This window comes from Homo sapiens, chromosome 1 (assembly GCF_000001405.40).
Source record: "Homo sapiens chromosome 1, GRCh38.p14 Primary Assembly".
NCBI classification, from domain to species: domain Eukaryota; kingdom Metazoa; phylum Chordata; class Mammalia; order Primates; family Hominidae; genus Homo; species Homo sapiens.
Genome location: NC_000001.11, coordinates 233,043,388 through 233,066,714, shown reverse-complemented (window position 1 = coordinate 233,066,714; position 23,327 = coordinate 233,043,388). Strand labels below are relative to the sequence as shown.

The window sequence follows — 23,327 nt, the reverse complement described above, 5'->3', positions numbered from 1 at the left end:
CAGGCTCCACCCATTCAGCCCAGCAGGCCGTGCTTGGTTTGCGCTACTGGCCTGGATCCCATATCCTGGGTAAAATGGTGAAGGGTGTGTGTGCAAGTGGGTGTGAGGTCTGACCACAGTGCACAGCCAGGCACACAGGCTGCTGCAGTGGGGCTGGGCAGGCAGCTCCAGATGCCAGCACAGATGCCTCCTTCATGTGAGGCTGCAGCTGGACTAGGCATACCACAGGCAGCTTCTGCCTTAAGTGCCCTCGCTGGATGAGGGGAATATGGTGGCACCTAAAAACTCAGAGATGCCAGCAACCAGAAAAAGCCCCAAGGGGGTGTTATAGCTTTGTCACAGCTCTGGCTCAGGAAGCCTGGAGGTCTGGGCCCCCAGAAGGATCACAGCTCTTCTTTCCCATGGTCCAGTGAACAGGAGCATGTCACTGCCCACAGCTCAGTGAGCTGGTCAGAGATGTGTGACAGTGCTTTTCACACCTGCCATTTGGTGGGTCCCAGGATTTTGTCCTGTGTCTGAGAAGAATGAGGTTATGTAGACAATCAGAGACTGAGTAAGGCAGAGAAGAGTTTTACTGAGTGACGGAACAGCTCTCAGCAGAAAGAGGACCCTAAGTGGGTACCCCCTACCCAAAGGTGGGTAGTCCCAAAGTGTGGCTGAGTCCAGGGTTTTTATGGGCTCGGAATGGGGGAGTGCATGCTGATTGGTCAAAAAGCACCATTCAATTGGCTGAAAGGCATGGAGGAAGTTCTCACTGCAGTTGGGGACTTTATCTAGAACTGGCAGCTTGGTTTTCAGGCTTTAATTTGTCTTTGGTTTGAAGGTTGGGTTTCACCAGGGACCCACCCCTATCTGCCTAGGAATTTGTCTCCCTTCTGCTGCTATCACTGATACAGATAGGCATAGGGCTATGGTTTTATCTGTGGTATTTGGCTGTTACAGAGAGGTTATGACCTACAATTTTCTGTCTTTTTAGCCTGCGCCTTTCCTGACTTTCAGGCTAGACAGATCAGGGGTTTGTTGATGCTTTTTTTTTTTCTTTTGCTTCTGTAGGTGTTTCTGGGCTACGTGAGGCAAAAATAAAAACAGAGAAACTCACCACAGTGTTTTTCCTTGGATCCCATGATGCCCAGATGCTCTACTTTTTCCTTTTACCTTTCAGAAGGTGTTTTTATAACATGTAAAATCCAGGGTTTTCGTTGTACCAAGTAGAGGAATAAGGAAAAATACACCAACTCCATATTTCCGGAAGAATACAACCAATCTGCATGTATTCATTGTTCTTATTCGTGCTTAGCTTTCTCTACTGCAGTTTCATATGGTATGATGAAAACATAATATGTTGGATACCAGTATTCTGTATAGGGTATTCTTTCATTGCAGGCCTCAAATAGACTTTCAGGAAATAGACTTTTACAATAACATTAGGAGGTAAGAGAATTGCCTCATTATGTCCATATGGCTGCCTGTGAGCACACATGTATGTTTACACAGAATCTTAGAAACTTCACCTTGAGGTAGGCTGAACACAGTGTGGTTGCCGAGTGTATTTTACAGTTTATCTATAGGATAATAGAAGAAACCAGAAAAGCACTGAGGGAATGTAAACAGAGAGAAAAAATGTTGATTCAGACCCTGTCATGATAAGATCCTTGTGGAGAGAGTGGTATAAAACTCAGCAAGCTTTATAAACATAAAATGAAAAAAAAATTTTAGTTTTTTAACTTAATAATTAATTACTTTGAAAAGTTGTATAACTAAGACTAAAATTCACAAAGATCAGTAGAAGACTTCTACACAGCAACAGTGGAGTAATATGTGGTTGTACTCCTATTTTTTCAGTATGGCTAACTTGTATTATCTTTTCTTTATGAAAATCTGGTTTAGAAGTTTTCAGTTCCAGAGATGTAGCAGACTAGATAATCTCAAAACTTTTATACCTGCTAAAAGTATCAAAAAATGATAGATGGTAAAATTCCTCCTAGATACATGTTTGAGCATAATAATAAAGTTGGAAAATTCCCAAGGGCTAGAAAGAAAGAGGGAGCAGAAAACAGCAAAACCCACTATCACTGCCTGGGAAGAATGGGGTGGGTGGTGGGTCGGGGCTGTGAGTCTCAGTAACATAGGGACTGACATTTTAAAATCTATGCCAGGCTAGGTGATGAAGCGTTAGTCCTACAGAAGCAGAAAGTTTCAACTAAGACTTCCACATAAAGCTGTAGCCCTGAAGGTCTTCCCCATCAGTGAAGAAGTGAAACACCCAACACAGAGAAGGAACAAGAAATCTCAACTGGTCAGAGAGAGGGAAGAGTGGGGACAAGTCTCCATTGTGAATGGACAATACTAATCTTTTGTCACATGCGGGCTTGGAGTTCAAAACGATACTACCCATATTTGGAAATTGTCACATTGAGAAGTTAACACAAAAATGGTACTGGTGTGTAAAACCCCTAGAGTTGCTGATGAAGCCAGTGTAAAATTATTCTTAAAGGACATGACATATCTTCAACTAATTCCACAATAAAAACTGACTGGAAAGGAGCTCTCAATCCAGTACTACGCAATACAAAAGAAAAATATTCACTGTGAACAAGAACCAGGAAATAAAATAAATAGCAGATTTCGACTCTCCAAAACTAAAGATAAGTAAAGAAATAATCATATATATATTTAGAATAAAAAGTTGTATAAGAAGAAATAAAACTAAAAGGCCAAGATGTTATGAAAAAAAAGACAAATTGGAACAAATGGCTTATAAAAATAAATGCATATAGTCATTAAAATGTATACTGTAATAGACAAGTTAAATAGTAAATTAAACACAGCTAAACTAGAAAGCAGTCAATCTAAGAAAACTGGCCAGAATGCAGCAGAGAAAGATAAAGAAATGGGAAATATTCCAGGGAGGTTAAGAGACTTAGAGGACAAAATGAAAGATGTCAACTAGAAGTCTAGAAGTTCCTGGAAGAAGGCATAAAACAAATAGGGAGAAGCACAGTTTTAAGAGAAAATAATAGAAAATTTTCAAAATTGATGAAAGACATGAATCCTCAATTTCAGGAATCTAAGTCATGACCATAATAAACTAAAATAAATTCACATTTCTACACAAAATAGTGAGGTTTCACAGCACTAATATCAAAAAAGATCTTTAAAGTATTCAGAAGCAACAGAAAGAATGGATACTAATTAATAACAGTATGTATGACCAATAGAAGAATTCTATACAGCAACAATGGAGTAATATGTAGTTGTACTCCTATTTTTCAGTATGGTTAACTTTTATTAGCTCTCTTTTCTCTCCCCCACTCTCATTCTCTCTCCCTGCCTCTCTTTCTCCTTTACCTTTTTTCCCTTTTTTAAAACAATCATTCTCATCAAATGTGTATATTTTTGTATGTTTGGTATTTATTTAACTACTCATTCTATTTGTTCAATAATTACAGGGCTATTCTTCTTCGTTGTTGTTGTTGTTGAAGACAGAGTCTTGCTCTGTCTCCCAGGCTGGAGTACAGTGGTACAATCTTGGCTCACTGCAGCCTCGCCTCCCAGGTTCAAGAGATTCTCCTGCCTCCACCTTCCGAGTAGCTGGGATTACAAGGGTGTGCCACCACACCCTGCTAATTTTCATATTTTTAGTAGAGACAGGGTTTCACTGTGTTGGCCAGGCTGGTCTTGAAACTCCTGACCTCAAATGATCCACCCACCTCAGCCTCCCAAATTGCTGGGATTACAGGCATGAGCCACCGTGCCCGGCCTCTTCTTTTGTTTTTATTCTGGAGTTACTTTTAGTATGTTACAGCTTTGTAGGGGATTACCTATTTCATTTATGTTTTCAAATTTATTGGCACAAAGTTGTTCATAGTATTGCCTTATTATTTCTGATTCTGTAGAATTGTCTTTATAATTTTATAATCAGACTATAGTGTAATGTGTTTAAAAATCAAAGAAACAATACAATTAGCATAATAACATAAACTATGAAGATGGAATATGACCAAATACATCTGCCTGGACACCCAGCGAAAAGACATACCTTAAATATGGTGACTTGGAACAGCTGAAAATCAAAGAATAAGTGAAAGCATTAGGCAAGTGCAAACAAATTAAAGCTACTGTTGTGGCTTAATATTGAACACAGATGTATTTGGGGCAAAAGCCATTAGGATTAAAAACATTTTATAATGCCAAAGACTAAAATTCACAATGAAAATATAAGCTATGAATATCAATGCATTAAGTCACGTAGCAAAACTTATATGGAAAAAAAGAAATTTTATTTAAAAAATAGAAACACAGTAGTGGTAGAAAATGTGACTCACTTTTCTTAGTTCATGACCCATCAAGTGATCAAAAATTAGATAAGCATATAGAAGAAATAAATAACATAATGTAACTTCAATATATACTACAGAATATATACACACATGCACAAACACATATACATATAGAAAATGAAAAAAACCTTTTCAGGTGCCCATGGGATATGAAGAAACACTGATTATATATTAGGCAATTAAAAAGGAGCTCACTTTCATAGTTCTTACAAACTACAATAGTAGTTCAATTTCTAGTAATGACATGCTAGGTGTTTACAACCAATTTTCCCCAGTGAGGGCAGCTAAAGAAAACTGGGTAAAATACAAAGAAAGGGGCTAGGCGCAGTGGCTCATGCCTGTAATCCCAGCACTTTGGGAGGCCGAGGCAGGTGGATCACCTGAGGTCAGGAGTTTGAGACCAGCCTGGCCAACATGGTGAAACCCCATCTCTACTAAAAATACAAAAATTAGCTGGGCGTAGTGGTGCATGCCTGTGATCCCAGCTACTCGGGAGGCTGAGGCAGGGGAATCGCTTGAACCCAGGAGGCGGAGGTTGCAGTGAGCCAAGATCGCACCACTGCACTCCAGCCTGGGCGACAGAGTAAGACTCTGTCTCAAAAAAAACAAAAACAAATACAAAACAATAACAACAAAAATAAATATAAAGAAAAAAACCAACAAAACTTTCTTTAAACTCAAAGTTGTTGGTTGCTCAAAACCTTCAAAGTACTGAAAATTCAGATCAAAATCCAGTAGAAGGAAAGCACCCAGCACTCATAACCATTTTTATTCAAGACCATCTGCCAAACCTGAAAAAAGAAACAGCCAAACTGAGCTGTTTGTGGTCTTGGAGGGCAAATGTATGAAAAGTCAAAACCCAGGCCCAGTAAGGCTGGAGGTCACCTGAAGGCGCTGATCCGAGGCAGTGCTCACCCTGATGGGTGTACAGCAGTATGTCCTCAGGAAATGTCTCGTGCCAAATCATTCTGAGCTGCGTGGTGACAGCAGAGTGCCATTGACTTTGCAAGAGCTAATACGATTGTTAGTAGCAGCAGCAATTAAGGGCAGAAAAACAAACCTAGCTGTACCTTGTGCATATAATCAATTTTAAAGGAGACAGTACCCCTGTATTTAAACTCTGGCTGCCTTTTCATTGTCCAGATTTCTTTAAGGTTGGTCTGCCTATGAATAGAATTACAGTCTATTTTTAACTCTGTCTTGGATTTGCTATATGAACAGACCCCCACCAAACTTCTCACTCCGGCCAGCAGTATTTCCTCACCAAAAAATAAGACAACTTTTACCATAGACTGTGTGTACTGACAAAGGGGAATTTGAAGCATTATCAATATAGAAAATTACTTTTAAATTATTTAAGTTGTTCAGATGAAACTGAGAGAGAAGGTGCTTGACTTAGAGAGACTGGCCATGGGGTGGAAAGGCCAAGTTTGAAGGGAAGAAGCCAGCTCTGCTCTCTGCATTTTGTATTAACATAAAAGAGGGGTGCTTCTCAGTAAGTCCGCTTCTCTGGAGAGTCCTGTTATACGACTCTTGTTCTGTAGTGCTCAGGACAGCATTAGCCAGCAATGCACAGTGACTTTGTCAGGCAAGTGCTAGGAAGACCATGCATGCAGACGCATGCCTAATGTGTACCAGGATTGCATGTTCCCACTGAGATTGGGGAGTGAGCTATAAGCCCTGTTTCCTCTTTGAGCTACAGAGCTGATGTTCATTTGATTGGACAGTTAAGGCAGAAATCCAATTACTGAGCTAATTAGCACCTTTGAGGGGTAAGCACCAAATTTACAGGAGGAAAGCACTGGAGAAAACTCAAATTACCCAGTGTGGCTGACAGTCCACCCTCTTAGAGAATGTGTGGAGAGCCAGAGGTCCTGGGGGTACACAGGCAGCTTAACTTAGTTATTGCTCATCAGAATTTAGACTGTGTTCTATAGGCTTCTGAAAAGATAGCTTTCCAGTGAACATAGTTTTAGAAGGTGTTTTAGTTCCCTAAGGAGTTTAGTAAATGATTTTCTTTTGTCTTAATCCTCCTTTAAAAGTTGTTTATTCTGCTGCTTGAAAATTCCATTTGTGGTAGGTCTTAAGGTGAAATTAAAATTCCATTTAGGGACTAACTATGCAGACGTGGGACTTCAGCCTTCATTAAAAAGAATTTTGTTGGTTGCTGGATTTTCTGCTACCCTGAGATCTTTCATTTTTCAAAGCTGCTATGAGAGTATTTGTAAGGAAAACTAAAGCTGTAATAGAACAGCATACTTGGGTTCACAGCCTTTCTGAAATGTAACACAGTATTTCTTCTCTCCAATCCATCCGTAGCATCACAGAACTCAACAGGATCTTGCCTAGATGGTTCCCAAATGTCTAAGACATACATGAAAAGAAAGAATACTTTTTTTTTCTGAAGACAAGCCTTTTCATTTATTCAAATTATAGTTCCAACCAAATATCTTTTTATCTGTTTTTATTCCCAAAAGACAAGTTCACAAAAGAAGGCTGCATTCTTAGGTTTCTTCTTAAGCACCATTTCTGACAAGTGCTTTTCATTTATTAAATTATACAGAATATGTCAATGATCATGTTTAAACATAAGCCACATATGCAGCATTGACTGGCAGCTAGTCTTGTTTCTTCTTAGCAAATATTATAAGGACAAGAACTTCAGAAGTAGCCTTATCTTTGACCATTCAATAATTTATTCTGCAAATATTTATTGAGTGACTACTATGTGCCAGTTGTGAGCAACAAACTTACTCTCATGGTACTTAGGGACTGATGTAAGAGTCAGATATCATCAGATAATTACACAAAGAGATGTATGATGTGGTGTAAAGTAAAGGCTCCTAAGCCAGCCTCCCTAGGTCATATTCTGGCTGTGCCACCTGTTAGATCTGTGACCTTGAGCACTCTATTTAATTTCTCTGTGCCTCTGCCTCATCCGCCGTGAGAATGGGTATAATGAGTACCTACCTCAGAGGGTAGTTTTGAGGCAATAATAAGCCAATACATATAAAGTACTTAGAACAGGCACATGACACAAGCAAGTGCTACATAAATGTTAGCTGCCATTGTTATGATTGATGTTAGCCTTGACAGGTGCTCCAAAAGAGAGGTACAGGTACAACATGTGAAAGAGAACATGACAAAGGAATCTCAAGCAGCACAGGAGTCAAGGCAGCTTCCCTGAGAAGGTGATACTTGAGCTGAGACTTGAAGGATGAGAGGAGTCAATGAGGAAAAATGAGTGGGAATGGAAAGGGATCCCTAAGTAGAGGGAACATTTGCAAAGGATACTGGAGAGGAAGGAATGACAGGACTAAGAGGTCTGGGCATGCTGAAGGGGTGGAAAAGGAAAACCAACAGGCTTGGAGCAAAGAAAGCAAAGGGTGGAGTGATAGAAAAGGCAGGAGCTGGCCAGGCGCTGTGACTCACACCTGTAATCCCAGCACTTTGGGAGGCCAAGGCAGGTGGATCATGAGGTCGAGAGAGCGAGACCATCCTGGTCAACATGGTAAAACCCCGTCTCTACTAAGAATACAAAAATTAGCTGGGCATGTGGCGCATGTCTGTAATCCCAGCTACTGGGAAGGCTGAGGCAGGACAATCGCTTGAACCCAGGAGGCGGAGGTTGCCATGAGCCGAGATTGCACTGCTGCACTCCATCCTGGTGACAGAGCGAGACTCCATCTCAAAAAAAAAAAAAAAAAAAGAAAAGAAAAGAAAAAGAAAAAGCAGGAGCCAGATGTGTTCAAGACCAGGCTTTCTACAATTGTCAGTGGGACCTTCATTATGCCCAAATCCTTAAGTAAACCCTATGTGTGATGCTGATATATTTGTGGAAGCCCTTTCTTAATGGCGAATATATCAGATTTAACCATATGAAATTGCCATTTTGTAGGTGATAATAAACAGTTGACTATCGTCAATTTCATAGGCCTGATGTCAATTTCATATTTCATTCTTTAAAGACCGCCACTCATTGTTGGAAATAAAAGGACAAAGGTAGGCTGGCATAGCCTCTCCAAGAGAGCAGATCGCTGCACTTACAAAGGGTTTTGGGGATGTGTGGAGTTCAAGGACTGGTGAGGTTTTGGAGGCATACATGGGTTGATGGCATCTGTATAGGTGGTTACTTGAAAAGCCTGTTATTCATCAGTTGCCCCTCAAGTCTGCAGTGAGTCGGCTAACTCTCAGAAGCCAGGGGTTGTCATGGACTGGCTGCCTTACAAAAGCTGTGCACTGAGGGGTGTTTACATGATGGAATAGGTTCAAAGCTGGTTCTAGTGGCCACTTGTTACCATGGCTGCAGATGATCCGAGAGCTTTCATTCTCATGGTTCAACCTAAGAAAGGTCTATAAGAGTATACCCCACTCTTGAAAGCAGGTGGTGGAGACGTTGACTACTCACCACCATTTCCTGAAATCAATTTGAAGAGAAAGATACCTTTGTGGACACTGTTCTCAAGTTCTGAAAGTGGGTAGCATTACATTGGCAGTTTAAACACTTGCTTTTTTTTTTTTGAGTCTTGCTCTGTCACCCAGGTTGGAGTGCAGTGGTGCAATCTCGGCTCACTGCGACCTCGGCCTCCTGGATTCAAGTTCAGCCTCCCAAGTAGCTGAGATTATAGGAGTGTGCCACCACACATGGCTAATCTTTTTGTATTTTTAGTAGAGATGGAGTTTCACACTGTTTGCCAGACTGGTACCAAGCTCCTGACTTCAAATGATCTGCCTGCCTCAGCCTCCCTAAGTGTTGGGATTACAGGCATGAGCCACCGTGCTCAGCCTAAATACTTGCTTTGATTTTGCAGATCTGGTGCTCCAAATTGATTAAGACACAAGACCGTTCTCTCCAAATCAGAGAGCTACTCATCTCTCCCTTCCATGTGTTTCTTGTACTGCTCCCTCTATCTCTTATCATGAGACTCCTCTCTTCCTGCAGTGTGGTAAAACTACAGCAATCGTCTTAACCTGTGAGATCTGTCACCTTTGCATTTTCCACTCATGCAGCTGGTTCTATAAACCAACTCTTCTGCTTGGGGGGATCTAATCATGACCTTTTACCCTTTTGTGGCCTCTTCTAGTACAAGGCGAGTGGATAATTCCAACACAAGACTGGCAGTCCAAATTGAAAGAGATCCAGGTAAGAAGATCTCTTCTCTCTTTTTCAACTATTTATTGTTGTATGGATGGATTCTCAAAAGGAAGAATTAAATACTCACTCTGTACTCATTGTGGAGACAATGCACATCTTAGTTAATCTGCTGAATGTGGAATAAAACTGTGCAGGTAGAGTGATCAAGCAACCTGATTTGGTTTGACAATGCATTGCTCCGCTATTTAGAATTGATTAGGACCTTGCTCAGTATTGCATACCCCTGTTAATCAAGACATTTTAGTTCGTGTGCAGTAAACCTCAAACACAGACTATAAACCTTGAGATTCGTCTTTTAGGAAAAAAAAATTCTTTGGAAAAACATCAGCATGATAATATCCTTAAAGGTAAAGCATTCCATGATCCAGGATCTAGAAGGTTTCAGAAACTTTGGTCAACATTAAGCTATGAAAGGATGTACCTGCTAGAAAATTATTTTACTTTTTTCTTTCCATAATCAATCTCCTTTTTTAACCATTCTATTTCTTCTTTCCTCATATTAGAATGCAAATTTTAACTGTTCTCTATTTTTGTCCTCCTCACTCCCTTCTTTGTGACCCAAAATCTGTCTAGGAACAATTGTATCGTGCTCATTATCTATATTTGAATTGCATCTACATGATTAATTCGAAATCAAAATTCGAAATTTGAGATACCTGGAGAGAGAAGCTTATTTTTTGTTGAACTTTATGTCAGTACAATGAGGGAGGAGAGGTACTGATATCTCTGAGGTGCAGCTGTGGGACTGTGATGTTACAAGGCTATTGATACAAGGCAGAGGGACAGTTTCCCAAGCACATTGTGCTGTTAGTTAATCATAGTTGCTGTCTCATTTTAATCTAATTATGCAAATGTGTGGTCAATGTGTTCTAAAAAGATGCCCTGAGTTGAATCTCTACTTTTAGTGATTTCAATTGTTTTGTTTTATTTAAATATTGAACAGTTTCAACAATTAAGCAAAGGCTAATTCTCTCATTCAGGCCTTTCCTTTCAAAGTGCCAGAGACTGAAAGGTGTCTTTAATTAGTGTCTCAGGATGCGTGCTGCTTCATTAGAGAAAATGAATACAGTGCAGGTCAAGGAGGCTTCATCTGCATAGAAGATTAAGCATACTGATACATTATTAGACTACATGGCATGAGTCAGCCCACAGAACAGTTTCTTTCCATTAATCATAATTAAGTTATAAATGCTCTAGTTTTGATTCAGCTTTCAACTGTCATGAGTGGCCAGCAAAGATACTCATAATTTGATAGTGTTATTCTGTAGATTTCTTAGAGGTGGATTGGTGATCTTCCTTATGTAAGCGCACTTGGGGCATCTTCACCTTCTTGTACCACTCCCTGCCTTCCGCACCCTGATTTTGCCCCAGTTCCCATGGATACAAAGCAGGGATGCTTCGGTCAGATCTGCAGTCTTCATCCCTGTCCTCCCCGAATGTCTGTCTCCACTCAAATAGACGATCCAGGAGGGAGCATTGAGTTTTGCTTTAGGCGTTTCCTGTTTAGGACAACTATGCCTATGGCTTTCCAGAGCCATAATTTCCTCTCCCAAAGAAAAGCTACTCCTAGAATAAAAGTCATGAACGTGAACATTTTGCCTAGGCTTCTCCCAATGCTTACTCCACCCACAGGACCACAGACCAGGAAGACTTCCCATGTTATCCAATCTTCTCTTTAAAAAATCTTATATCCCTCATCTTGAGAGATCCCATGAAAGGAGGGAAAAGAGTCAGGGCTCAGCAGGGAGGATATAGGAAATGCACTACGCACTCCTAATTTCACCCCCACTCAACACGCACCCCTGGCTGTCCACCGGGAAGCAAGGTATTCCATCATTCCATCTTCTTTGCTGCTTCCTCCTTCACCCTTCCTTGGATGTCATTATCCACCCAATTAAAATGGCCAAAGTTAAACAAACAAGCAACAGTGGACAATTCCAAGTCCTGGCAAGGATGCAGAATTAGAGCTCTCAATCACTGCTGGGGAAATGCAAATAGGGTACAGCCACTTTGGAGAACAGCAGTCCTGCTCCTAAGCATTTACTCAAGAGAAATGGGGAGAGTCATATTCACACAAACTCCTGTTCATGACTCTTGGTAGTGGTTTTACCCATAATCACCAAAACTGGAAACAACCCAAGTGTCCTTCAGCAGCTGAATGGATAAACAAACTGTAGCACATGCATACAGAGGGATACTACTCAAAGGTGAAACAGAACACACTCATATATACAACAGATGAATGCATTATTCTAAGCGCTGGTTATATGACTATGTGCATTTTTCAAGACTCATAGAATAGTACACTAAAATGGATGAATTTTACCCTACACAAATTATTCTTCAATAAACCTGAATTTTTAATTTATATATAGTTTAAGAACAAATGGTATCCATTTATATATAGTATAATAACTTATATGTTATATAATATGTCAAATATTTATTTGTATTTAACAAATAATACTAGCAATGATTGTTTGTATTATATATTATAGCACATATATATAAATCGATGCTGCTTATGGCCTATAAATTACACAGAGAGAATATTGAGGGAAAAAATTGGAGGGTCTCATATAATCCACTAAAATGTGGGAAGAACACATCTTTCCTCTTTTATGTATATAAAGAGTCTGATTTTACCCTTAATCAGATGACAACTCACTGTTTCCTAGGTCTGGATACACAGCAAGGAGTAGGCATTCACTGATCATATTTCTTGTCTGCCTTTAGGGAATGATGACAACAATCTCAATTCCATTTTTTATGAACACTTGACAAGGACCCTCCAGGAGTCCCTCTGTGGAGACTTAGTTCTTGGACGTTGGGGCAACTACAGCTCTGGCGATTGCTTTATTTTGGCTTCAGATGACCTCAATGCCTTTGTTCACCTGATTGAAATTGGAAATGGTCTTGTCACCTTTCAACTTCGAGGACTGGAATTCCGAGGTAAGAATTTCTTCATTGTAGAAACTGTTGAAAGTTGGTTGCTTGAGTTAATTATCAAGCAAAACTTTAGGAAGAAGTCACTGTTAAACAGGAAAAACTTAATGTCTTCCTACTGAAAGTGAGCTTGCCACCACTACCTTGATATAAATAAACTACAGTCATCTGAAGGAATAAAAACATAAAACATAGAATGGCATGTAAACTTGTGGATTAGCAAACCAGGACATTGGTTTTATTAGCAAATCAGGATATTGATTTTAATCCTTCTGGGAAAAACTCAGAAGCCACAGGAGGTTGTGGGGAACATCATTTGGGGTTCCAAATGGAGTCAGCCCGACCTTGTTCTGTGGGTCACAGGTGTTGGGATCTGTTGCGTGCAAATCATTTAAGGTCTTAGAGCTTTTCTTTCCTATCTGCAAAATAATAATAATGAGAATGGCTGCCTTATAATGTTGCTGTGTGGTTTAAATGAGATCATGTAGAAGGCACTTCATGAATCCTCATTGCTTTATGGTTATTGAGTCTGCCTGAATCTTGAAAGTATAACTCCAGTTTTCCCGCAAATGAGGAGCTGGAGTTATGCGGGATGCAGAAAGTGGCATAAGTGATGTACCTGTTGCCTTCTCCTATGTTGTTTATTCCTTTACTCATTGCATGTTTTCTGAACATCTCCTCTGTATCAGGCAGTGTTTCAATACTGGAGATGCAATGGACACGTGACATAAAAGAGTCTTATCACCATGAAGCTTACCCCCAGTGAGAGACACCTAAAGTAAACAAGTAAACAGACAAACTTATTATAGCTTGGAGCAGGTGCTATGAAAGAAGTAAATAGGGTTCTGGAACCCAAAGTCACTGCAGAGGATGAGGGTGAGGAGGTGCCACATTCAATGGGATGGTCGAGGAGGGCCTGGAGAGGAGAGCAGGAGGAAGAATGTCCCCAGTGCAGGGACTGATACCTGCTAAGTGCATGAGTCAGGCGGCATCTCAGAGCACTCCTGGCATCTGGGAGGACTCAAGTGACTAGGGCTGACCAGCGCTTGCGGCAACTTGACATGAGGCAGCTGGAAGCCCAGTAATGTGAGATCTCCCCGCCAGTGTCAGGGACTATATGTTATTCTCTATGTTATGGGGAACCATGTAGGGACTCTGGAGGAGGGAATGGTTGACCCTCTCTACACTTTAAGAGATTGGTCTGGTGGCTGTGTGGAGAATATACTGGGGGAAGACAAAAGTAGAAGCAGGGAAACCATTTAGGACTGCATTGTGGACACCCAAGCAGATGATGGCAGAGACAGGGAAGTGCCCAGAGACTGGGAGGTGGAATCAGAAGGGCTAGCTGTTAGGGGTGAGTAAGAGGGGAGGCTCTGTGTGCCCCCCAAGTTTCTAGATCGAGTGTCTGCATGGGCAGAGGTGTGTTTACTAAAACAGGGAAGCCTGGAAGGACTTTTTGGTCTGGTGGTGGAGGCATTCAGGTGAATATGCAAGTAGCTAGTACATACAGTCTCTTAGTTATTCAGGAGACATTTATTTAGCACTGATTACATGTCATGCACTAGTGTAGGTACCAAGAATACAGAAATGAAGCCCCCACCTTAAGATGCTGGGAGCCTCACAGAGAAGACAGGTATGGAAGGAGCTCATGTGAAATGAGTATCGCATGAAATGAATGTTATGACAGTGTCCTGCAAGGGCCAGGTTAAGGACCAGAGGAGAGGCACTGGTGTCAGGTTGGAGTCTGGGTCAGCTCAATGGAGGAGAAAGAGGAAGGGCCTTACCTGCTAAGGAGCAGCAGATGTGATGACAAAGAAGCACCAAGTCATCCGATGTAGTTCTCAGCAGGTAGTTTGGAAGTGGTTATAGGTAATGCTAGAAAGGTGAGCAGGAGCCAATTCATACCTGTTCAAACCCTCACTGTGACAAAAGGACATCTTTTAGCCAAAAACAAGTTGTCATGTTTTCCCAGATTGAACACCATTATCTAAAGATGATCAGTTATCTCGGTTCTTTGGATGAGAATCTCTAGCATTAGTTTTGTGAATATCCATGCCTTTTCACATTCCTAAATAAATGTTTACGAAATATTTTTTTTCTAGAGTGGTAGGTTCTGTGTTTTAGGTGTGCATTCCGTGCACTTTTCTGAATTTTAAGAATCTAATTTAGGGGGCTTAGTTTGGAGAAGGTTATTGAACAGGGAACTAGTGATAAAACTCTATAGAGTAATCACAGAAGGGATAATTCCCCTACATTTAGCACAGATGCCAGAAAATGTCACGAGAGATGGTGGAAATAAGTGTCTTCAGTGCAATAATACAATAGAACTGTCCTGCTCTCTGAATTTCTGAATCTCAGCTCTTTTGAGAGCTTTTCTTAAAAGTTCTTTTATTTTAGTATATTCCTTTTTAAATATAATTTCAATTTTCATTTTAGATTTGGGGGTACATATGCAGGTTTGTTACATGGATATATTGTGTGATGCTGAGATATGAGGTATGATTGGTCCCATCACTGAGGTACTGCTCATAGGACTCAACAGTTTTTCAACCTTTGTCCCCTTTTCTACCTGCAATGTCTACCAGTCCCCAGTGTCTATTGTTGCCTTCTGTATGTCCATTAGTACCAAACGTTTAGCTCCCTTTTATAAGTGAGAACATCTGGTATTTGGTTTTCTATTCCTGCATTAATTTGCTTAGGATAATGGCATCCAACTGCATCTACGTTGCTGCAAAGGACATGATTTTATTTTTCTTTATGGCTGCATAGTATTCCATGGTGTATATGTACCCCCATTTTCTTTATCCAGTCTACTGTTGATGGGCACCTAGGTTGATTCCATGTCATTGCTATTGTGAATAGTGCTGCAGTGAACATATGAGTGCATGTGTCTGTTTGGTATAACGATTTATTTTATTTGAGTATATATACCCGGTAATGGGATTGCTGAGTTGAAAGGTAGTTCTGATTTAAAGTGCTTTGAGAAATCTCCAAACTGCTTTCCACAGTGGCTAGACTAATTTACATTCCCATCAACAGTGTATAAATGTTCCCTTTTCTCTGCAGCCTCACCAGCATCTATTGTTTTGTGTTTTGTGTTTTTTGTTTACTTTTTAATAATAGCTATTCTGATTCATGTGAGGTGGTATCTCATTGTGGTTTTGATTTTCATTTCTCTGATGATTAGTGATGTTGAGCATTTTTTTCATGTGTTAGTTGGCCACTTGTATGTCTTCTTTTGAGAAGTATCTCTTCATATCTTTTACCCATTTTTTAATGGGGTTATTTATTTTTTGCTTGTTTGATTGTTTAATTCCCTTATACATTCTGGATATTAGACCTTTGTCAGTTACATAGTTTGGGAATATTATCTCCCATTCTGTAGGTTGTCTTTTATTCTATTGATAGTTTCTTTTGCTGTGCAGAAGCTCTTTAGTTTAATTAGGTCTCATTTGCCCATTTTTGTTTTTTTGCAATTGCTTTTGAAGACTTAGTCATAAATTCTTTCCTAAGGCCCATGTCCAGAATAATGTTTTCTAGGTTTTCCTCCTATAGTTTGAGGTCTTACATTTAAATCTTTAATCAATCTTGGGTTAATTTTTGTATATGGTGAAAGGTAGGGGTCCTGTTTCATTCTTCTGCACATGGCTAGCCAGCTATCCCAGCACCATTTATTGAATAGGGAGCCCTTTCCCCATTGCTTATTTTTGTTGACTTTGTCAAAGATCAGATGGCTATAGGTGTGTGACTTTTTATTTCCGGGTTTGCTATTCTGTTCCATTGGTCTATGTGTCTGTTTTTGTACCACTACCATGCTGTTTTGGTTACTATAGGCTTAGAGTATAGTTTGAAGTTGGGTAATTGATGCCTCTGGATTTGTTCCTTTTGTTTAGGATTGCTTTTGCTACTTGGGCTTTTTTTTTTTATTCAGTATGGATTTTAGAATAGTTTTTTTCTAGCTCTGTGAAAAATGACATTGGTAGTTTGATGGGAATAGAGTCTATAGACTGCTTTGGGCAGTATGGTCATTTTTTTTATTATACTTTAATTTCTGGGATACATGTGCAGAACATGCAGGTTTGTTACATAGATATACACGTGCCATGATGGTTTGCTGCACCCATCAACCCATCATCTACATTAGGTATTTCTCCTAATGCTATCCCTCCCCTAGACCCCCACCCCATGACAGGCCCCAGTGTGTGATGTTCCCCTCCCTGTGTCCATGTGTTCCCATTGTTCAACTCCTATGTTGATTCTTCCAATCCATGAGCAAGGAATGTTTTCCCATTTGTTTGTGTCATCCATAATATTTTTCAACAGTGTTTTTGTAGTTCTCTTTGTAGAGATCTTTTACCTTTTTGGTTAGATGTATTCTTAGGTATTTGTGTGTGTGTGTGTGTGTGTGTGTCTATTGTAAATGAGATTGTGTTTTTTATTTGGCTCTCAGCTTGAATGTTACTAGTGTGTAGGAATGCTACTAAGTTTTGTACATTGATTTTGTATCCTGAAACTTTCCTGAAGTTATTTTATCAATTCCGGAAGGCTTTTGGCAGAGTCTTTAAGGGTTCTCTGACTATACAATCATATGATCAGTGAAGAGAGATATTTTGACTTCTTTTTCTATTTGGATGTCTTTTATTTATTTCTCTGGATTGGCTGCTCTGGCTAGGACTTCCAGTACTATGTTGAATAGGAGTGATAAGAGTGGGCATCCTTGTCTTGTTCTGGTTTCAAGGGGAATTCTTCCAGCCATTTGTTTGTCATAGATGAGTCTTATTATTTTGAGGTGTATTCTTTCTATCCTTCATTTCTTGAGGGTCTTTACCATGAAAGGATGTTGAATTTTATTGAAAGGTTTTTTTCATGTCTAGTGATATGATCATGTGGTTTTTGTTTTTAATTCTGTTTATGTGATGAATCACATATATTGACTTGTATATGTTGACCCAACCTTGCATCCTAGGAATGAAGCTGACTTGATCATAGTGAATTAACTCTGATGTGCTGCCTAATTTGGTTTACTAGTAGTTTGCTGAAGATTTTTGTATCTATATTCATCAGGGATATTGGCCTGTCATTTTCTTTTTTTGTTGTGTTTCTGCCAGATTTTGGTATCAGGGTGATGCTAGCTTCATAGAATGCATTAGGGAGGAGTCCCTCCTCCTCAGTTTTTTGGTATAGTTTCAGTAGAATTGGTACTAGCTCTTCTTCTTATGTCTGATAGAATTCAGTTGTGAATCCCTCTGGTAAGTTTTTTATTACATATTCAATTTCAGAACTCAATATTGGTCTGTTTAGGGTTTTAATTTCTTCCTGATTCAATCTTGGAAGAGTGTGTGTTTCCAGGAGTTTAGCCATTTCATCTAGATATTCTAGTTTGTATGCATAGAGATATTCATAATAGTCTCTGAAGATCTTTTGTATTCTTTTAGGATCAATTGTAATGTCATCTTTGTCATTTTTGATTGATTGTGCTTATTTGGATCATCTCTCTTTTTCTTTGTTATTCTAGTTAGTGGTCTATCAATCTTCTTTATCCTTTCAAATCAACTTTTGGTTTTGTTGACTCTTTGTATGGATTTTGGGGTCTCAATTTTGTTCAGTTCTGCTCTGATTTCAGTTCTTTCTTCTGCTAGCTTTGGGGTTAGATTGTTATTGTTTTTCTAGTTCCTTTAGGTGTGATGTTACATCATTAAATTGAGATATTTCTAACTTTTAGAGGTAGGCATTTAGCACTATGAACTTTTCTGTTAACACTTCTTTTACCACATCCCAGAAATTTTGGTATGTTGTGTCTCTGTTTTTATTTGTTTATAAGACAGAGTCTCACTCTGTTGGCCAGGCTGAGTGCAGTGGCACAATCTTGGCTCACTGCAACATCTGCCTCCCAGGCTCAAGTGATTCTCCTGCCTCAGCCTCCCAAGTAGCTGGGTTTATAGGTGTGTGCCACCACACTCAGCTATTTTTTATATTTTTAGTAGAGATGGGGTTTCACCATGTTGGCCAGGCTGGTCTCGAACTCCTGACCTCAAGTGATCCGCCTGCCTTGGCCTCCCAAAGTGCTGGGATTCCAGGTGGGAGCCACCATGTGCAGCCTGTTTTTATTCATTTAAAAGGATTTTTTTTTTCATTTTTGCCTTAATTTTGTTGTTTACCCAAAAGTCATTCAGGAACAAGTTGTTTAATTTCTATGTAAGTATGTGGTTTTAAGAGTTCTTCTTGGTATTGATTTCTATTTTTATCCCACTGTGGTCCAAGAATATGGATGATATTATTTCCATTTTTTTTAAATTTATTGAGACTTGCTTTATGGCTGAGCATGTGGTTGATCTTGCAGTATGTTCCATTTACAGATGAGGAATGTATATTCTGTGGTTGATGGGTGGAGTATTCTATAGATTTCTATTAGGTCCAGTTGGTCAAGTGTCAAATTTAAGTCCAGAATTTCTTTGTTAGTTTTCCGCCTCGATGATCTGTCTAATGCTGCCAATGGGGTGTTGAAGTCCTCCACCATAATTGTGTATTGTGTGGCTGTCTTAGTCTTTTCATAGCTCTATAAGTACTTGTTTTATGAATCTGGGTGCTCCAATGTTGGGTGCATATATATTTAGGATAGTTAAGTCTTGTTGAATTGAACACTTTATCATTATGTAATACCCTTCCTTGTCCTGTTTTACTGTTGTTGGTTTAAAGTCTGTTTTATCTGATATAAGAACAGTGACCCCTGCTCCTTTTTTGATGAAAGCTTTTCAGTTTTTTCTGGAATTTAAGGTAAAATCTTTTAGAGCTAACCTAGTTGAATTATGAGTTGTAGTTTCTGTCACAAGTTCTGTGCCATTTTTAGCTTCTTTTTGCAAACTTAACCAATCTTTGAGTTTAAAGGGTCCAAGTTAATGAGATCTTAGAATTTTGCAGTGCTTTTTCTGTCTGTCAGCTCCTCATCACAAGCAGCGCTTCTTAATCTAGCACAATAAATGTTCTGGTCTCATCTTAGATCAATTATATCTTGAGGCATAACCAGCCACCACAGAACTTCGTGGTTTAGGATAGCAATGCTGTATTATTTCCCACTGTTGCATGGGTTGGCCAGTGGTTCTGCTGCTGCTGTCACCTGGGCCACTTGAGCAGTTTCATTCAGCAGGTAGATGAGCCAGGCTGGGAGGTCTAGAGGCTGGCTGCCAAACTTGGAGCCTTGTATCTCCTCCATGGTACCACTCAGTCTCCCAGAGGCCAGACTAGGCATCTTCACAGCCAGGTGGTGTTCGGGTTTGAAAAGGGGAAATCTGAACACTTCAAGGATTCTTACAGCCCAGCTTCCTGGACAGGCACCATGTCATTTCTGCCACATTCTGGTGGTAAAAGCCATTCCCAAGGACAGCTCAGATTCTGGTGATAGAAAAAGTGGTTCTGCCTCATTTGCACAGTGGTATGATTACAGGGAGGCGTTATTTGTCAATATTACAACAACATACCAGACTCCTTGAATTTCATCAGATGAAATACAGAAGGAGGCTTAGAACTGACAGATGTAGCCATCCCCAAGATAGAGGCAGAGATTATGTGAGACTAGACTGCCCAGGAGGATCTCTGCTATTGCTCATTGATATCCCTTCTTCCTGCCAGCCACAGTAGGAATATAACCTGGCTATAAGGGTCACTTTGGCACCATAGCAACGTCTTGAGAAAAAAATGATAGTTCCCTTGCCCCAATACCACTCACTCTTAAACAATACCTTTTTTTAAACCCAGTTCAGTTGTAGTTGGGGACACAGGGACTTTAAAAGAGCATATAGCTTGACAAAACCTAAATTATGCTTTTATTGTGGGAAGAATCCAGTTAACCTAAAATGGCTGTTCTGTTTTATGTCTCTTTGCAACATATAGTACAGTATTCCTAGGGAAGGTCTGTTTTATTTTACCTCCATGGATATTTTTTAGAGTTTTCTTTTCAGCATTTTCCTTTTCAGTTTCCTGTTTTCCAAAATAATGGCTTTATTTTGGTCAAATTTAATCTACTTCACCCCAACCTGAGGCAGTCAAAATATAGATGGGCTTGTTCTCCCTCCTGAAGTCTACTGAAGCCATCAGTGGAAACATGAAATGTTCACAGGATAGATTCTGACTTTTTCTCAGAAAATGAGAAATACACTCCAGAGAGGAGGCAAGCTCCCCAAGGCTGTGGACCAAGAAAGTATCCTGTCTTCCTCTCCCTGAAAGGGATGCATTTGTGTCAATAAGAGTTCTTGGTTGTGAGCTACAAAAATCAAATCTAGCTAACTTAAGTAGAAGAAGGATTTGTTGGAAGATGTTGCAAAGGGCACAGACTTCTGAGAAGGCTAGCAAAGCAGGCTTTGCAGCTATTGGACAAGGGCCAAGTCTAAAATCACACCACAGCTGTGAAGGAGTCACTTCTTGGCTGTTGAATCCAGACACTGGCATCATGTCATTGATACCATGAGCCTGGACACTGGACACTGCTACTGCCACCGCAGCTGCCCCCAGAAACTGGATGAACACCTCCCTTCCAGAATGCATTCCACATGACCCTGCTTCTTTGTGTCTCCAGCTCATTAGTCAATGTCTGATGTGGGTTTAACAGATTAACAAAGCCAAGATTTCACGTGTGTGCTCTAGATGGAAGGGAGCCTGGGAAAGAAAGTGTCTGACTCTTTAGTTTCTATAATGGGAGGTGGTGACTGCCTATCCCTGAGAGTCACAAAATGGGTAGATTAATTGAAGTAATGCTAGCTGCTGTAACTATTAGGCCCCAAATTTCAGTGGCTGATGCAACAGACGTCTGTTACACATTCATGTAGAGTCCAGTCAGTGAGTGGAGGTAGTGGGGAAGGGGATGGTTTCATTCTGCACTACCAAGGATTCAGGCAAATAGAAGCTCCACGTATTTCCTAGCACATTGCTTTCAAGACCACCTTGGACTTCAATACCAAGCTGGCAGAAAGTGGAAGATTGCATGGAAGATTGTTATGAGCTTGGCCTAACAATCTTCCCAATGATTGGGATACATCATTTCCTTGTACATTCTGCTGTCCACGATTGACATGACTACAAAAGAGGCTAGGAAATGCTATCTAGCTGAGTACCCAGGAGAAAAAGTAAAAGGCTTTGGTGAACAAAAAATAACTGGGGTAGTTCTGGTGCAGTACAAAATTGCCCAAACCTAGAATAGGGACGTAGATCTTGGATAGCCCAAAAGAATGATCAAGGTCCATGGCACATCCTATTTCTGTTGTCTGGTACCATAATGAATGATTGATACAAATTCTATATCAAGAATACAAATAGGACGGGTGTGGTGGCTCATGCCTGTAATCCTAGCACTTTGGGAGGCTGAGGCGGGTGGATCACCTGAGGTCAGGAGTCCAAGACCAGCCTGGCCAACATGGTGAAACCCCATCTCTACTAAAAATACAAAAAGCAGCTGGGCGTGGTGGCATGCACCTGTAATCACAGCTACTCGGGAGGTTGAGGCAGGAGAATCACTTGAATCTGAGAAGTGGAGGTTGCAGTGAGCCAAGATCACGCCATTGCACCCCAGCCTGGGCGACAAGAGTGAAACTCCGTCTCAAAAAAAAAAAAGAAAGAATACAAATGAGGAAGCACCATTTTTCTATTCTATTCTTTTGGCTCATATATTCCAGAATAGAAATAAACTATTTTCTTGTTAACGTAAGAAAACAGGATTGTAGTGCCCCCACTGCTCTTGAGTTCATGAGTATTACTTGCATCTACCTAAACGGGGAGCCTGTCAGGAAAACATTCAAGAGTGGAAAGATTAATCATTGGCTTTAAATCTAAGCCAAATTACAACAAAAGCCAAAATTGATAAATGGGATCTAATTAAACTAAAGAGCTTCTGCACAGCAAAAGAAACTACCATCAGCGTGAACAGGCAACCTACAAAATGGGAGAAAATTTTTGCAACCTACTCATCTGACAAAGGGCTAATATCCAGAATCTACAATGAACTCAAACAAATTTACAAGAAAAAAACAAACAATCCCATCAAAAAGTGGGCGAAGGACATGAACAGACGCTTCTCAAAAGAAGACATTTATGCAGCCAAAAAACACATGAAAAAATGCTCACCATCACTGGCCATCAGAGAAATGCAAATCAAAACCACAATGAGATACCGTCTCACACCAGTTAGAATGGCAATCATTAAAAAGTCAGGAAACAACAGGTGCTGGAGAGGATGTGGAGAAATAGGAACACTTTTACACTGTTGGTGGGACTGTAAACTAGTTCAACCCTTGTGGAAGTCAGTGTGGGGATTCCTCAGGGATCTAGAACTAGAAATACCATTTGACCCAGCCATCCCATTACTGGGTATATACCCAAAGGACTATAAATCATGCTGCTATAAAGACACATGCACACATATGTTTGTTGTGGCACTATTCACAATAGCAAAGACTTGGAACCAACCCAAATGTCCAACAATGATAGACTGGATTAAGAAAATGTGACACATATACACCATGGAATACTATGCAGCCATAAAAAATGATGAGTTCGTGTCCTTTGTAGGGACATGGATGAAATTGGGAAATCATCATTCTCAGTAAACTATCGCAAGAACAAAAAACCAAACACCGCATATTCTCACTCATAGGTGGGAATTGAACAATGAGAACACATGGACACAGGAAGGGGAACATCACACTCTGGGGACTGTTGTGGGGTGGGGGGAGGGAGGAGGGATAGCTTTAGGAGATATACCTAATGCTAAATGACGAGTTAATGGGTGCAGCACACCAGCATGGCACATGCATAAGTATGTAACTAACCTGCACATTGTGCACATGTACCCTACAACTTAAAGTATAATAATAATTTTTTAAAAATCTAAGCCAAATTAA

General features: G+C 40.1%; 1 protein-coding gene across 8 annotated transcripts in view; it reads left to right on the top strand.

Annotated features, from left to right (window-relative positions):
- The window catches only part of PCNX2 (pecanex 2), a 343,895-nt gene that overhangs the window by 260,615 nt on the left and 59,953 nt on the right, over positions 1–23,327 (top strand). For 6 of the 8 annotated variants that reach the window (XM_047430870.1, NM_014801.4, XM_047430871.1 and 3 more), the window contains 2 exons: positions 9,425–9,483; positions 12,232–12,447. In XM_047430870.1, coding sequence (XP_047286826.1) covers positions 9,425–9,483; positions 12,232–12,447 — 275 coding nt within the window. Of the gene's footprint in view, positions 1–1,053; positions 1,264–9,424; positions 9,484–12,231; positions 12,448–23,327 lie in introns of those variants that run through there. The other 2 variants (XR_001737430.2, XM_006711816.4) reach the window with 1 other exon arrangement.